This window comes from Homo sapiens, chromosome 19, assembly GCF_000001405.40.
Source record: "Homo sapiens chromosome 19, GRCh38.p14 Primary Assembly".
Taxonomy (NCBI): Eukaryota; Metazoa; Chordata; class Mammalia; order Primates; family Hominidae; genus Homo; species Homo sapiens.
Genome location: NC_000019.10, coordinates 47,240,875 through 47,255,239, shown reverse-complemented (window position 1 = coordinate 47,255,239; position 14,365 = coordinate 47,240,875). Strand labels below are relative to the sequence as shown.

The window sequence follows — 14,365 nt, the reverse complement described above, 5'->3', positions numbered from 1 at the left end:
CACCTGTAACACCTGTAATCCCAGCTACAGGCTGAAGCAGGAGAATCGCTTAAACCCGGGAGGCAGAGGTTGCAGTGAGCTGAGATCGTGCCATTGCACTCCAGCCTGGGCGACAGAGCAAGACTACGTCTCAAAAAAATAAATAACTGGCCAGGCGCAGTGGCTCATGCCTGTAATCCCAGCACTTTGGGAGGCCGAGGCAGGTGGATCACAAGGTCAGGAGTTCGAGACCAGCCTGGCTAACATGGTGAAACCCCGTCTTTACTAAAAATACAAAATTTAGCCAAGCATGGTGGCAGATGCCTGTAATCCCAGCTACTTGGGAGGCTGAGATAGAGAATTGCTTGAACCCGGGAGGCAGAGGTTGCAGTGAGGCAAGATCGTGCCACTGCACTCCAGCCTGGGCGACAAAGTGAGACTCCGTATCGAAAATAAATAAGTAAATGAAATCATAAAATATAAAATAAGGCCGGGCGCGGTGGCTCACGCCTGTAATCCCAGCACTTTGGGAGGCCGAGGCGGGCGGATCACGAGGTCAGGAGATCGAGACCATCCCGGCTAAAACGGTGAAACCCCGTCTCTACTAAAAATACAAAAAATTAGCCGGGCGTAGTGGCGGGCGCCTGTAGTCCCAGCTACTTGGGAGGCTGAGGCAGGAGAATGGCGTGAACCCGGGAGGCGGAGCTTGCAGTGAGCCGAGATCACGCCACTGCACTCCAGCCTGGGCGACAGAGCGAGACTCCGTCTCAAAAAAAAAAAAAAAAAAAAAGTATATATATATATATATATATATATATATATATATATATATATATATAAAATAAACGTTCAACCGATAGAATCAGTCGTTCATTCTCCCAAATCAGCATTGACTGCCAGGCTGCGTGCTGGGAGGAAAAGTTGGTGGGGGAACTGAGATGATGAACAAAGCTGACCCCATCCTTGTCCTCCTAAGGGAAGACACAAGTAAATGGGAAATAGCAGCACCTGTGGGAGATGCCTGGCAAGAGGGGCAGGAGAGGCCGGAGGGTGAGAGGCTGCCTGTGCAGGCCAAGGACACAACCTATGCAAAGGCCCTGTGGTGAATGAGCTTGGTGCATTCCCAAAACTAGAAGATACTCAAAGCAACAGCAGCTGAATAGCTGCAGAGTCCAGGAGGTTACAGCATTAACCAAAACTTAGACATAATAAAGCTAGTGTGACAAGCCGACCAGGCGCTGTGGCTCACGCCTGTAACCCCTGCTACTGGGGAGGCTGAGGCAGGAGAATCACTTGAACCTGGGAAATGGAGGTTGCAGTGAGCCAAGATTGAGCCACTGCACTCCAGCCTGGGCAACAAGAGTGAAACTCTGTCTCAGAATAAATAAATAAATAATAAAGGTATTGTGACAAATGATGATGAATGCTACAGAATACCCTCAGTTAAGGTGAATGACAGTTATAAGTGGACAGACCAGATTGCCTGTAGTGCCAGTCATTTTATTTTGTGATTTAAGACATAGAAAGTGGAAGTACCTGGTAATTCCTTACCATTTCTAAGGCTACTGTTCACAGCCTTTCAGAGATACCAATGAAACTTAATCCTCTTATAATTGTCCAAATAGCAATCTATGCATGTAACGAAATTCACTTGAGGCCAGTGCGGTGACTCATGCCTGTAATCCCAGAACTTTGGGAGGCCAAGGTGGGCAGATCACTTCAGCTCGGGAATTTGAAACCAGTCTGGGCAATAGAGTGAGACCTAGTCTCCACAAAAAAAATTAAAAATTAGGCCAAATACAGTGGCTCATGCCTGTAATTCCAACACTTTGGGAGGCAGAGGTGGGAGGATCATTTAAGGCCAGGAGCTCACTCAAGGTCAGCCTGGCCAACATAGTGGGACCCCCACCTCTCTCTCTCTCCATATATGTGTGTGTATGTGTTTGTATAAATATATATATATATTTTGTTTGTTTGTTTGTTTTTCTAAGACAGGTTTTGCTCTTTTTGCCCAGGCTGGAGTGCGATGGCGCAATCTCGCCTCACTGCAACCTCCGCCTCCCAGGTTGAAGCAATTCGCTGCCTCAGCCTCCTGAGTAGCTGGGATTACAGGCATCTGCCACCATGTCTGGCTACTTTTTTTTGTATTTTTAGTAGAGACAGGGTTTCACCGTTTTGACCAGGCTGGTCTTGAACTCCTGACCTCGTGATCCACCTGCCTCGGCCTTCCAAAGTGCTGGGATTACAGGCGTGAGCTACCGCGCCCTGCCGACTGTTTTCAACACATGAACTTCGACGGACACATTCAAACTATGGCAACTGTTCTGACAGAAAGAGGCTGCCCAGAGCACCCTGGGGAGAGCTGACTTGATGGAGCCTGAGTGGTGTGTGTGTCACCGCTGCTGCCCTCTCCAGCCACATCACTCCCTTTTGTGCATCCTCAAACTCCGTGTTCTTATCCAGTGGTTCTCAATGGAGGTAATTTTGCCCCCTAAAGGACATTTCTCAATGACTAGGGACATTTCTGGTTGTCACAAGAGAGGGTCCTCTTGACATCTAGTGGACAGAGGCCAGGGCTGCTCCTGAACACCTTCCAATGCCCAGGCCAGTCCCCAAGATAAAGACTCAGCCTCGGCTGGGCGTGGTGGCTCATGTCTGTAATCCCAGGACTTTGGGAGGCCAAGGCAGGAGGATCATCTGAGGTCAGGAGTTCGAGACCAGCCTGGCCAACATGGTGAAATCCCGTCTCTACTAAAACTACACACATGCAAAAAGAAATTAGCCAGGTGTGGTGGTGTGCACCTGTAATCCCAGCTACTTGGGAGGCTGAAGCAGGAGAGTCGTTTAAACCCGGGAGGCGGAGGCTTCAGTGAGCCGAGATCGCGTCATTGCAATCCAGCCTGAGGGACAGAGCAAGACTCCACCTCAAAAAAAAAAAAATTATCCAAGAGTGTCAGTGCACGCCTGTAGTCCCAGCTACTCAGGAGGCTGAGGCAGAAGAATTGCTTGAATTTGGGAGGCAGAGGTTGCAGTGAGCTGAGATCCCGCCACTGCACTTTAGCCTGGGTGACAGAGCGACACACTGTCTCAAAAAAATAAGTACACACACACACACACAAAATTAGCCAGGCGTGGCCAGGCACGGTGGCTCACACCTGTAATCACGGCACTTTGGGAGGCTGAGGTGGGTGGATCACCTGAGGTCAGGAGTTCATGACCAGCCTGGCCAACATGGTGAAACCCCATCTCTGCTAAAAATGTAAAAAAAATTAGCCGGGCATGGTGGCGGGCACCTGTAGTCCCAGCTACCAGGGAGGCTGAGGCAGGAAAATGGCGTGAACCCAGGAGGTGGAGCTTGCAGTGAGCTGAAATCACGCCACTGCACTCCAGCCTGGGCAACAGAGCCAGACTCCGTCTCAAGAAAAAAAAAAAAAAGAAAAATCTATCCGGGCGTCATGGTGGACGCCTGTAGTCCCAGCTGCTTGGGAGGCTGAGGCAGGAGAATTGCTTGAACCCAGGAGACGGAGGTTGCAGTGAGCCAACACAGTGCTACTGCACTCCAGCCTCGACGACAGAGTGAGACTGTCTCAAAAACAAAAAACAAAAAACAAAAAAAAATTAGCCGGGCGTGGTGGTGCACGCCTGTGATCCCAGCTTACTCAGGAGGCTGAGGCAGGAGAATCGCTTGAACCTGGGAGGCAGAGGTTGCAGTGAGCCGAGATCACACCACTGCACTCCAGCCTGGCGGCAGAGTGAGACTCCATCTTAAAAAAAAAAAAAAGTAAATAACTAAAGTCAGCATATTTTAAAAAGTAATAATAATAAAATAAAATAAAATTAGCCAGGCATGGTGGCACATGGTCCTAGCTACTCAGGAGGCTGAGGCAGAAGGATTGCTTGAGCCCAGGAGGTCGAGATTGCAGTGAGTTATGATCCTGTCTTTACACAGTGAAAGACTCTGCAACACTGAAAGTGATCAATCAGCAGGGTGCAGTGGTGCACCAGCACTGGGGAGGCCAAGGTGGGAGGATCACTAGAGGCCAGGAGTTCAACGCCAGACTGAGCGACAACAAAGTGAGACCCCTGTCTCGAAAGGAAGGAAGGAAGGAAGTCAAGGCTGGGCACAGTGGCTCGCACCTGTAATCCCAGCACTTTGGGCGGCCGAGGCAGGTGGATCACCTGAGATAGGGAGATCGAGACCAGCCTGGCCAACATGGTGAAACCCCGTCTCTACTAAAAATACAAAAATTAGCCGGGCGTGGTGGCACTGGGCCTGTAATCCCAGCTACTTGGGAGGCTGAGTCTCAAGCCTGGGCAACAGAGCCAGGCTCTGTGGGGAGGCGGGGGAGGCGGGGGAAGAAAGAAAGAAAGGAAAAAAAAGGAAAAGTAAACAAGAACATGCATGAATCTTGCAAACATTAGGCTGCATAACAAAGGCATACAGACACCAAAGAGAACATATTTCATGGTCCATTTATATGAAATTCTAAAACAAGCAAAACTAATCTCTGGTGTTAGAATTCACGATAATGATTACCCTGAGGGTAATTAGGGTAATCAGGGTCAGGAAATGGGGCTAAGAACGTTCTGTTTCTCCACCTAGGTGCTGGTTACATGGAGTTCTGCACTTAAGAGTTTGGGAGGGGCCAGGTGCGGTGGCTGACTCCTGTAATCCCAGCACTTTGGGAGGCCAAGGAGGGTAGATCACTTGAGCCCAGAAGTTTGTCACCAGCCTGGGCATAGTAGTGAGACCCCTCCCATCCCCATCTCTATTAAAAAAAAAAAAAAAAAAAAGCTGGGCGCGGTGGCTCAGGCCTGTAATCCCAGTACTTTGGGAGGCGGAGCTGGATGGATCACGAGGTCAGGAGATCGAAACCATCCTGGTTAACATGGTGAAACCCCATCTCTACTAAAAAAAATACAAAAAATTAGCCGGGCGTGGTGGCATGCGCCTGTGGTCCCAGCTACTCGGGAGGCTGAGGCAGGAGAATGGTGTGAACCCAGGAGGTGGAGCTTGCAGTGAGCCGAGATGGCGCCACCGCACTCCAGCCTGGGCGACAAAGCGAGACTCCATCTCAAAGAAAAAAAAAAGTACCCACCTTGATCCTGAAAGAAAACAAAACAACGGCAAATCAGCAATAGAACAATCTTGAGCATAGAAAACCAGACTCCCTGAAGTCAGTGTGAATGAAGCTGAGATCAACCACATTAAACATTTCATGTGGCCGGGCACGGTGGCTTACGCCTGTAATCCCAACACTTTGGGAGGCCAAGGTGGGCAGACCACATGAGGTCAGGAGTTCAAGACCAGCCTCGCCAACATGGTAAAACCCCGTCTCTACTACAAATACAAACAAATTAGCCGGGTGTAGTGGTGGACACCTGTAGTCCCAGCTACCCAGGAGGCTGAGGCAGGAGAATTGCTTGAACCCAGGAGGCAGAGGTTGCAGTGAGCCAAAATCGTGCCACTGCACTCCAGCCTGGGCAACAGAGCAAGACTTCCTCTCACAAAAAAAAAAAAAAAAAAAAAAGGCTGGGCATGGTGGCTCATGCCTGTAATCCCAGCACTTTGGGAGGCCGAGGCGGGCAGATCACGAGGTCAGGAGTTCGAGACCAGCCTGACCAACATGGTGAAACGCTGTCTCTACTAAAAATACAAAAATTAGCTGGGTGTGGTGGCACATGCCTGTAATCCCAGCTACTCGGGAGGCTGAGGCAGGAGAATTGCTTGAACCCGGGAGGCAGAGGTTGCGGTGAGCCGAGATCGTACCATTGCACTCCAGCCTGGGCAACAAGAGTGAAACTCTGTCTCAAAAAAAAAAAAAAAAAAAAGTTGTACTCACTTTTTTCCCACATTTATATGGAATGAAAACTTGCCAATTTATTCTGGCCCTAGGTCTACTGCCAGTATAGCATTCTTTTTTTTTTTTTTTTTTTTTTGAGACAGAGTCTCGCTCTGTCACCCAGGCTGGAGTGCAGTGGCGCGATCTCGGCTCACTGCAAGCTCTGCCTCCCGGGTTCACGCCGTTCTCCTACCTCAGCTTCCCCAGCAGCTGGGACTACAGGCGCACGCCGCCACACCCGGCTAATTTTTTGTATTTTTAGCAGAGACGGGGTTTCAACGTGTTAGCCAGGATGGTCTCGATCTCCTGACCTCGTGATCTGCCCGCCTCAGCCTCCCAAAGTGCTGGGATTACAGGTGTGAGCCACTGTGCCCGGCCTAGTATAGCATTCTTACATGTTACATATAGTGGACTTGTCATACTTAATATGTGAACAGAATTTATTGGCAGTGTGGCAAATATTATAAAACCTAGTGTTTAATGTACTTGGGAAGAGTTTCCTTGTAGTAGTAACTACAGAGTTTAATGATAAGTAAACTCCCCTTAACAAAAACCTCAACCTTATTACTATCCCATTAACGACAAGCAAATACATTAAAAAAAAAAAAAAAAAAAAGGCTGGGCGCGGTGGCTCACGCCTGTAATCCCAGAACTTTGGGAGGTTGAGGCGGGCGGATCATGAGGTCAGGAGATCGAGACCATCCTGGCTAACACAGTGGAACCCCATCTCTAGTAAAAATACAAAAAAAAAAAAATTAGCCGGGCGTGGTGGCGAACGCCTGTAGTCCCAGCTATGTGGGAGGCTGAGGCAGAAGAATCGCTTGAACCCAGGAGTTGGAGGTTGCAGTGAGCCGAGATCACACCACTGCACTCCAGACTGGGCGACACAACGAGACTCTTTAAAAAAAAAAAAAAGGCCAGGTGTGGTGGCTCACACCTGTAATCCCAGCACTTTGGGAGGCCGAGGCGGGTGTGGGTCGCCTGAAGTCAGGAGTTCTAGACCAGCCTGGCCAACATGATGAAACCCTGTCTCTACTAAAAATACAAAAATTAGCCGGGCGTGGTGGCGTGCGCCTGTAATCCCAGCTACTCCGGGGGCTGAGGCAAGAGAATCACTGGAACAGGGAGGCAGAGTTGCAGGGAGCCGAGATCACACTCCAGCCTGGGGGACAGAGCCAGACTCTGTCTCAAAAAAAAAAAAAAAGAGGGCCAGGTGCGGTGGCTTATGCCTGTAATCGCAGCACGTTGAGAGGCCAAAGCAGGTGGATCACGAGGTCAGGATTTCAAGACCACCCTGGCCAAGATGGTGAAACCCGTCTGTAGTAAAAATACAAAAAAATTAGCCGGGCATGGTGGCGGGCGCCTGTCATCCCAGCTACTCAGGAGGCTGAGGCAGAGAATTAGAGAATTGCTTGAACTTGGGAGGCAGAGGTTGCAGTGAGCCGAGATCACACCACTGTACTCCAGCCTGGGCGACAAAGCGAGACTGCGTTTCAAAAAACAAAAAAAAGAGTCTGGAGCTTCAGGACTTCAAGGCTGCAATGAGCTCTGATCGTGCCACTGCATTCCAGCCTGAGCGGCGAGGGAGACCTTGTTCCTAAAAAAAAAAAGAATTGGGAGGCTTTAGAGAAGTGTGTAACTTATGCTACAGCTTAAACAATGGTCTCAAGAAATCAAAAAACAAATTTTACAAGTTCAAAAATAATCATAAAAAATACTTTGTGTTTATTTGTGGAATGGAGTTAAATTCTACCGTTAGTACGCAGTGGCTAAGGGCGGACTTGAAGATCTCCCAGGAAATTTGATAATCACGCCGGCGGACACGTTTCCCACTCTCCACCAGGGGGCGGTGCGGCGCACTCCCTGCCGCTTGAGACAAACAGACACGCATATTCATTCAACAAACCTGAACCCATGAGAACCTACTTTGTGCCGGGCCTCCTTCTAGTTTCCCGATCTGTGAAATGGGAATTAGAATGTCCCTGCCGCCATGGAGCTCACTTTCTCCAGAAGACAGACAACAAACAGCTAAACAAAGGAATAGGTAGAGGCCAGGCGCGGTGGTTCAGGCCTGTAGTCCCAGCACTTCGGGAGGCTAAGGCCAGAGGATCGCTTGAGGCCAGGAATTCGAGACCAGCCTGGGTAACATAATGAGACCTCCCCCCCCCCATCTCTACAAAAAAATTTAAAATTAGCCAGGCGTGGTGGTGTGCACCTGTGGTCCCAGGTACTTGGGAGGCTGAGGAAGGAGGATCATTTAAGCCCAGGAGTTGGGCATCTGGGCAACATAGTAAGACCCTCTCTCTAAAAATAAAATAAATAAAATACAAAATAAAATATAAAATTTAAAAAGGCCTGGAGTGGTTCGAGGCCAGCCTGAGTGACATGGTGAGACACTGTCTCTACTAAAAATACAAAAATTAGCCGGGCATGGTGGTGCGGGCCTGTAATCCCAGCTACTCAGGAGACTGAGACACGAGAGTCACTTGAACCTAAGAGGCAGAGGTCGCAGTGAGCTGAGATTGTGCCACTGCACTCCAGCCTGGGCGACAGAGCAAGACTCTGTCTCAAAAATAAATAGAATAAAATATAAAAGAAATTAAAAAGAAAAAATTAGCAGGGCATGGTGGCACACACCTGTGGTCCCAGCTACTCAGGAGGCTGAGGTGGGAGGCTCACTTGAGCCCAGGAGGTTGAGATTACAGTGAGCTGTGATCACACCACTGCTCCGCTTGGGCAACAGAGCAAGACACTGTCTTAAAAAAAATAAGGCCATGTATAGTGGCTCATGCCTATAATCCCAGCACTTTGGGGGGGCGGAGGCAGAAGGATCACCTGAGCCCAGGAGTTATAGACCAGCCTGGGCACCATGGGGAGACCTCATCTCTACAAAATAATATAAAATTAGCTGGCCATGGTGGCACAAGAAGGTAGTCCCAGCTATTCAGGAGGGAGGCTGAGGTGGGAGGATTGCTTAGGCCTGGAAGGTTGAGGCTGCAGTGAGCCATGTTCACACCTCTGCACTCCAGCCTGAGTGACAGAGTGAGACCCTGTCTAAAAAAAAAGAAAAAGGCTGGACACAGTGGCTCATACCTGTAATCCCAGCACTTTGGGAGGCCGAGGCGGGTAGATCACGAGGTCAGGAGATGGAGACCATCCTGGCTAACTCAGTGAAACCCGTCTCCACTAAAAATACAAAAAATTAGCCAGGCCTGGCGGCGTGCGCCTGTAGTCCCAGCTACTCAGGAGATTGAGGCAGGAGAACGACGTGAACCCAAGAGGTGGAGCTTGCAGTGAGCAGAGATCATGCCACTGCACTCCACCCTGGGCAACACAGCAACAAGACTCCATCTCAAAAAAAAAAAAGGGGGCCAGGCGCGGTGGCTCATGCCTGTAATCCCAGCACTTTGGGAGGCCGAGGTGGGTGGATTATGAGGTCAGGAGTTTGAGACCAGCCTGACCAACATGGTGAAACCCTGTCCAACATGGTGAAACCCCGTCTCTACTAAAAATACAAATATTAGCCGGGCATGGTGGCACGTGCCTGTAATCCCAGCTACTCAGGAGGCTGAGGCAGGAGAATCGCTTGAACCCAGGAGGCAGAGGTTGCAGTGAGCTGAGATCGTGCCGCTGCACTCCAGCCTGGGCAACAGAGCAAGACTCCATCTCAAACAAACAAACAAACCTATATATATATATATATATATATATATATGTGTATAAAAATCTTGAATCCTACCACAGCTCCCGTCTCTGCTTCCTGGATCTATGGATGGTCATAAGGATGTAACCAGGTCATGTATGTAAAGCTCTGAATCGGCACGGAGCCTAGCACACAGTAGGTGAACTCAGAGAGCTGCCATGATGATGATGATGACAATTGGTCTCTCAGAACCTTCATCCTTCCGGCTGCCCCCTAAACGCCTCTCTGTCCTTCACATCCACATCCAGTACCTCAGCCAATCCCATCTGCTCGCTCTCTCTTTCTTTCTTCTCTCTCCTTCCTTCCTTCCTTCCTTGCTTTCTTGCTTTCTTGCTTGCTTGCTTTCTTGACAGACTCTCGCTCTGTCACCCAGACTGGAGTGCAATGATGTGATCTCGGCTCACTGCAACCTCCCACTTCCAGGTTCAAGTGATTCTCCTGCCTCAGCCTCCCAAGTAGCTGGGATTACAGGCACGCACCACCACACCCAGCTAATTTTTGTATTTTTGGTAGAGATGGGGTTTCGCCATGTTGGCCAGGCTGGCCTCGAACTCCTGTCCTCAAATGATCCTTCTGCATCGGCCTCCCAAAGTGCTGGAATTACAGATGTGAGCCACCGCGCCCGGCGGCAAATAGCACTTTTTCAAAGACACCATCCCTCAACACTCCTGACGGCCCTTCCCTGCTTCCTTTTTCTACTTGAAGTTTCGCTTTGTATTGTTACTGTGTTCTCCTGGTGTGTGGTCTGCCACAGACCAGAGTGTCAGTCCCATGAAGGCAGGATTTGTATCCATTTTGCTCACAGCTGTATCCTCATGCCTACAACTGCACCAGTGCCTGGCACAGGGGAGACTCTGTGGTAATTGCTGAATGAGTGGATATAAGAATAAATGGGGCCAGGCGTGGTGGCTCACGCCTGTAATCCCAGCACTTTGAGAGGCCGAGGCGGGTGGATCACGAGGTCAAGAGATCGACACCATCCTGGCCAACATGGTGAAACCCTGTTTCTACTAAAAATACAAAAATTAGCCGGGCATGGTGGCAGGCGCTTGTAGTTCCAGCTACTCAGGAGGCTGAGGCAAGGAGAATCGCTTGAACCCGGGAGGCAGAGGTTGCAGTGAGCCGAGATCGCGCCACTGCACTCCAGCCTGGGCGACAGAGCGAGACTCCGCCTCAAAATATATATATGTATAGTCCATCTCCCCTGGTGGTTGTGAGGATGAATTGGGTTTGTATTTGCAGGCTTCCTGAGCTGGCGACATCGTCTGGTGCAAAGGTGGGCTTTTTGCGCGGCGCCTGTGCTTCCGCCTTCTGCCGCTCGGGGGCAGCAGGCGTCCGGCGGATTCGCCCGCGCGGCCGGGCCGGGAAAGGAGCGGGGGCAAGTCCGCAGGAGGAAGCTGATGAAATCCTGGCCAACTCGCAGTGAGCTCATCCCGCCCGGGCGCCTCCGGAAGCCACGGGGCCGCCCGGCCTCCGCCTGGCCCGAGCGATAAAGCTCTCGTGCCGAACCAGGGCGGGAAGTCCTTCCTGAAGTCTGCCCTGCGTGGGGCCTGCTGCCAGAAGCCTGGGCCGGAGGGGAGGGGCGAGGACGAAGTAGCGAACCGTCCGCTGGCTGTCTTAGAAGGATGAAAAGTGAATTCTGAGCCTGGCTGTGGGAGTAAGAGAGAGGGCATCGGGGAAGGGAGAGGGGGGCGGGAGAGACAGAGACAAGAGGTGGGAGAGACGACAGGAAGAAGAGACAAAGGTGGGGAGACTGAGGCAGAGGAGGGAGAGAGAGAGAGACAGAATCCAGGAGGGACAGCTGAGAGAGTCAGATGGAGCGACAGAGACAGAGATGGGGGAGACAGAGACACGGAGAGACAGAGATGATGGAGACAGAGACTGGGAGAGACAGAGATGATGGAGACAGAGACTGGGAGAGACAGAGATGATGGAGACAGAGACAGGGAGAGACAGAGATGATGGAGACAGAGACTGGGAGAGACAGAGATGATGGAGACAGAGACAGGGAGAGACAGAGATGATAGAGACAGATGGCAGAGACAGAGGTAGCGGAGAGAGACTAGGAGAGACAGAGGTGGCGGAGACAGAGACGGGGAGAGACAGCAGTGGTGGAGACTGATGGGAGAGACAGATGGAAGAAACAGAGAGGGGATATGAGAGACAGAGACAAAGGCAGAGAGATCTACAGGGAGACAGAGACAGGAGAGATAAACATGGGAAAGAGAGAGACAGAGAGACCCAGCGAGTGGCAGAGATAGGGGAGTCAGGAGCGACGCAAGGGTGTGGGAGATGGAGTCAAAGTAGGGGGTCAGAGGTGCCGAGCTGGAGGTGAGGGAGACGGGGCGAGGGGGCCGGGGAGGGGCGCTCGGGGCGGGCCTGCGAAATCGGGGCGGGGAGGGGCGGGGCGGGCCCCGGAGGGGCGGGGCGGGCCCCTCCCCCTCCCCGCCCTCCCAGCCCCCAGCCCGGAGCCCCGCGGCTGCGGCGCGGGCCGAGTCTCCAAGTTACCAAGTTACCGCAGGATTCGGGAGCTTCTCACTGGCGCGGCCGCGGCCAATCAGAGAGCAGCGCCGCTGTTCTCGGGCAGGAGGCCTGGAGACACGCGCACCTTCCCCCGACACCCAGCGAAGCGCGCTGACATACAATCACAGCGGCGCGCACACACACACACACACCGTCCCAGAGACAAGCAGCGTCGCCCACCGCACATACACAATCACAATGACACACACAGCGACAGACACACAGGTCCCAGGAACACGCAGACACACAGCATCACAGAGACACACAAAATATCAGTGACAGCCGGGCACGGTGGCTCAGGCCTGGCACGGTGGCTCAGGCCTGTAATCCCAGCATTTTGGGAGGTCGAGGCGGGTAGATCACTTGAGGTCGGGAGTTTGGGACCAGCCTAACCAATGTGGTGAAGCTCCGTCTCTAGTGTGGTGGCATGCACCTGTAGTCCCAGCTACTTGGGAGGCTGAGGCAGGAGAATCGCTTGAGCCCAGGAGGTGGAGGTTGCAATGAGCCAAGGTCGCTGCCACTGCACTCCAGCCTGGACAACAAGAGCAAAACTCCGTCTCAAAAAACAAAACAAAACAAAACAAAAAAACAACTTAGTGACACAGACAGTCCCAGGACACATAGCACTCCCCAGACCCACAACCACAGGCACACACAGTGCTGCCCAGGCACATGCAATCTCCATGAGGTATGCACAGTCCCTTGAACACACAACATCACCCTGACACACACAGTATCAGTGACATACAATCAATACAGTGACACTCATCCCACAACCAATTGGTCCCAACACACTCACTAGATCACAGTGATACAATCGCAACAGTGACACATTCAAGCACAGTGAGAGACAATATTGCATACACGCAATCTATTAGACACACAGTTCCATGGACACACAACATCACCCTGACAAACACAACCACAATGACACACAACCACAGTAACACACAGCATTGCACATGCACATACTGTCGGTGATACACAGTCCCACAGATATGCATTTCAGACACAGTCATAATGTCACACACACACACACAATCCCACCGTGCACCGCATTGTCCAGGCACACACAATAACAGTAGTATGTATGCACATCTTCCCCCGACACCCAGCACAGCACATGGGCATACACTATCACAGTGATACATACACAGTCCCAACACCCACAACACAAGTACCACTGACACACTCAGTGACACACACAATCCCATATACACACAGCATTGTATACACGTACACACCATCACCATGACATACACACACAACCCCAGTGACACCCAGCATTACACAAACACATCCAACCATGACAACAGAACAGTACAGTGACATAGCACCTTCACAGATCTTCCCCCAACACAACATCACTCTGACACATATACGATCCCAGCGTCAGGACACAATCACATGGGCACACACATCTCACTGCCAGACCAGCATGCTGCACAGAACCACACACATCACACCATCATGATCACACACAGCACACCAGAACATCACACAATTGTACACTGACACACAATCACATTGTCACAGCAGCCCATGACATGTAGCATTGTGACAAATGTAGCATGCTGACACACACCATCACACTGACACACAATCCATCAAGTGACACACAGTAGCACACACTGACACAACCCCACCGTAATGTGTGAACCCCCTGACACAACAGCACACTGACACAAATCCACAGAGGACTCCAGCACACACACACATAGTCACACAAACACCCAACCCCCGCACCCCTGCCCTTGCCCCAGGAAGCTGTGTTAGATGTGGGACGGTGGGGGAGGGATGCGCTGTGTGTGTGTGTGTGTGTGTGTGTGTGTGTGTTTGTGTGTGCGCCAGCGCAGGCTGTGCCTCCCCCTCCCAGCCCTTCCCCGGGGGCGGGGCCGTGCGGCAGCCGCTGTTACCGGGTAAACTTCCCCGCCCCCCCCAGCGCGGCCATTAGTCAACCCCCCCCAGGATGATGTCATCGCCTCATTCTGGAGGCTGAGTAATCCTCAACTCCGCCCCGCCAGGTACCAGGGTAGGGGCGGGCCGCACCTGGGCTCACCAAGTCTGGAGCTGGGGTCTGGAGCTGCAGGCGGCTCTGCCTTGGGTCTCCCGGGAGGGAGGGGACTGAGGAATTGGGCCTCTCTGAAGTGGCCCAGCCATGCACGTTACGGTCTCTCGAGGCTGGGGGCTCCCAGTCTGGATCCACGGGGCCAAGTAAAGGTGCTGCAGGGCTGGATCTTCCAGACCTGGGGGTCTGGGACTGGGGAGGGCCCCCCAACCTCTCCACTACTCCCTCCTCCCCAGCCACATCACTGTG

The 14,365-nt window shown here is 51.7% G+C and overlaps 1 long non-coding RNA gene across 1 annotated transcript in view, besides 9 other annotated features; it reads left to right on the top strand.

Moving 5' to 3' along the window:
* Window positions 10,155-10,655: an enhancer, noted in NCBI's record as "H3K27ac hESC enhancer chr19:47747842-47748342 (GRCh37/hg19 assembly coordinates)". NCBI's record gives its function as "activates a minimal SCP1, AML or CMV promoter by ChIP-STARR-seq in primed H9 embryonic stem cells {active_cell/tissue: H9 hESC(primed)}" and the evidence as "EXISTENCE:reporter gene assay evidence [ECO:0000049][PMID:30033119]".
* Window positions 10,155-11,848: a biological region, named in NCBI's record as "CRISPRi-validated cis-regulatory element chr19.5064". NCBI's record gives its function as "regulatory_interactions: BBC3".
* Window positions 10,635-11,286: a transcriptional cis regulatory region, noted in NCBI's record as "candidate enhancer chr19.5064 targeted for multiplex CRISPR interference". NCBI's record gives its function as "positively regulates BBC3 gene expression with high confidence in K562 cells {active_cell/tissue: K562}" and the evidence as "EXISTENCE:mutant phenotype evidence [ECO:0000015][PMID:30612741]".
* Window positions 10,855-11,848: an enhancer, noted in NCBI's record as "H3K27ac-H3K4me1 hESC enhancer chr19:47746649-47747642 (GRCh37/hg19 assembly coordinates)". NCBI's record gives its function as "activates a minimal SCP1, AML or CMV promoter by ChIP-STARR-seq in primed H9 embryonic stem cells {active_cell/tissue: H9 hESC(primed)}" and the evidence as "EXISTENCE:reporter gene assay evidence [ECO:0000049][PMID:30033119]".
* Window positions 11,001-11,050: a silencer, noted in NCBI's record as "silent region_10846". NCBI's record gives its function as "represses an Ori minimal core promoter by ATAC-STARR-seq in GM12878 lymphoblastoid cells {active_cell/tissue: GM12878}" and the evidence as "EXISTENCE:reporter gene assay evidence [ECO:0000049][PMID:35858748]".
* Window positions 11,045-14,365, top strand: part of LOC124904731 (uncharacterized) — a 5,521-nt gene continuing 2,200 nt past the window's right edge. Inside the window, exon 1 of the long non-coding RNA XR_007067278.1 lies at window positions 11,045-11,182. This is a non-coding gene — a long non-coding RNA (uncharacterized LOC124904731). The remainder of the gene's footprint in view (window positions 11,183-14,365) is intronic.
* Window positions 11,947-12,076: an enhancer, noted in NCBI's record as "active region_14864". NCBI's record gives its function as "activates an Ori minimal core promoter by ATAC-STARR-seq in GM12878 lymphoblastoid cells {active_cell/tissue: GM12878}" and the evidence as "EXISTENCE:reporter gene assay evidence [ECO:0000049][PMID:35858748]".
* Window positions 12,147-12,286: an enhancer, noted in NCBI's record as "active region_14863". NCBI's record gives its function as "activates an Ori minimal core promoter by ATAC-STARR-seq in GM12878 lymphoblastoid cells {active_cell/tissue: GM12878}" and the evidence as "EXISTENCE:reporter gene assay evidence [ECO:0000049][PMID:35858748]".
* Window positions 13,319-14,120: an enhancer, noted in NCBI's record as "H3K4me1 hESC enhancer chr19:47744377-47745178 (GRCh37/hg19 assembly coordinates)". NCBI's record gives its function as "activates a minimal SCP1, AML or CMV promoter by ChIP-STARR-seq in naive H9 embryonic stem cells {active_cell/tissue: H9 hESC(naive)}" and the evidence as "EXISTENCE:reporter gene assay evidence [ECO:0000049][PMID:30033119]".
* Window positions 13,776-13,895: a silencer, noted in NCBI's record as "silent region_10845". NCBI's record gives its function as "represses an Ori minimal core promoter by ATAC-STARR-seq in GM12878 lymphoblastoid cells {active_cell/tissue: GM12878}" and the evidence as "EXISTENCE:reporter gene assay evidence [ECO:0000049][PMID:35858748]".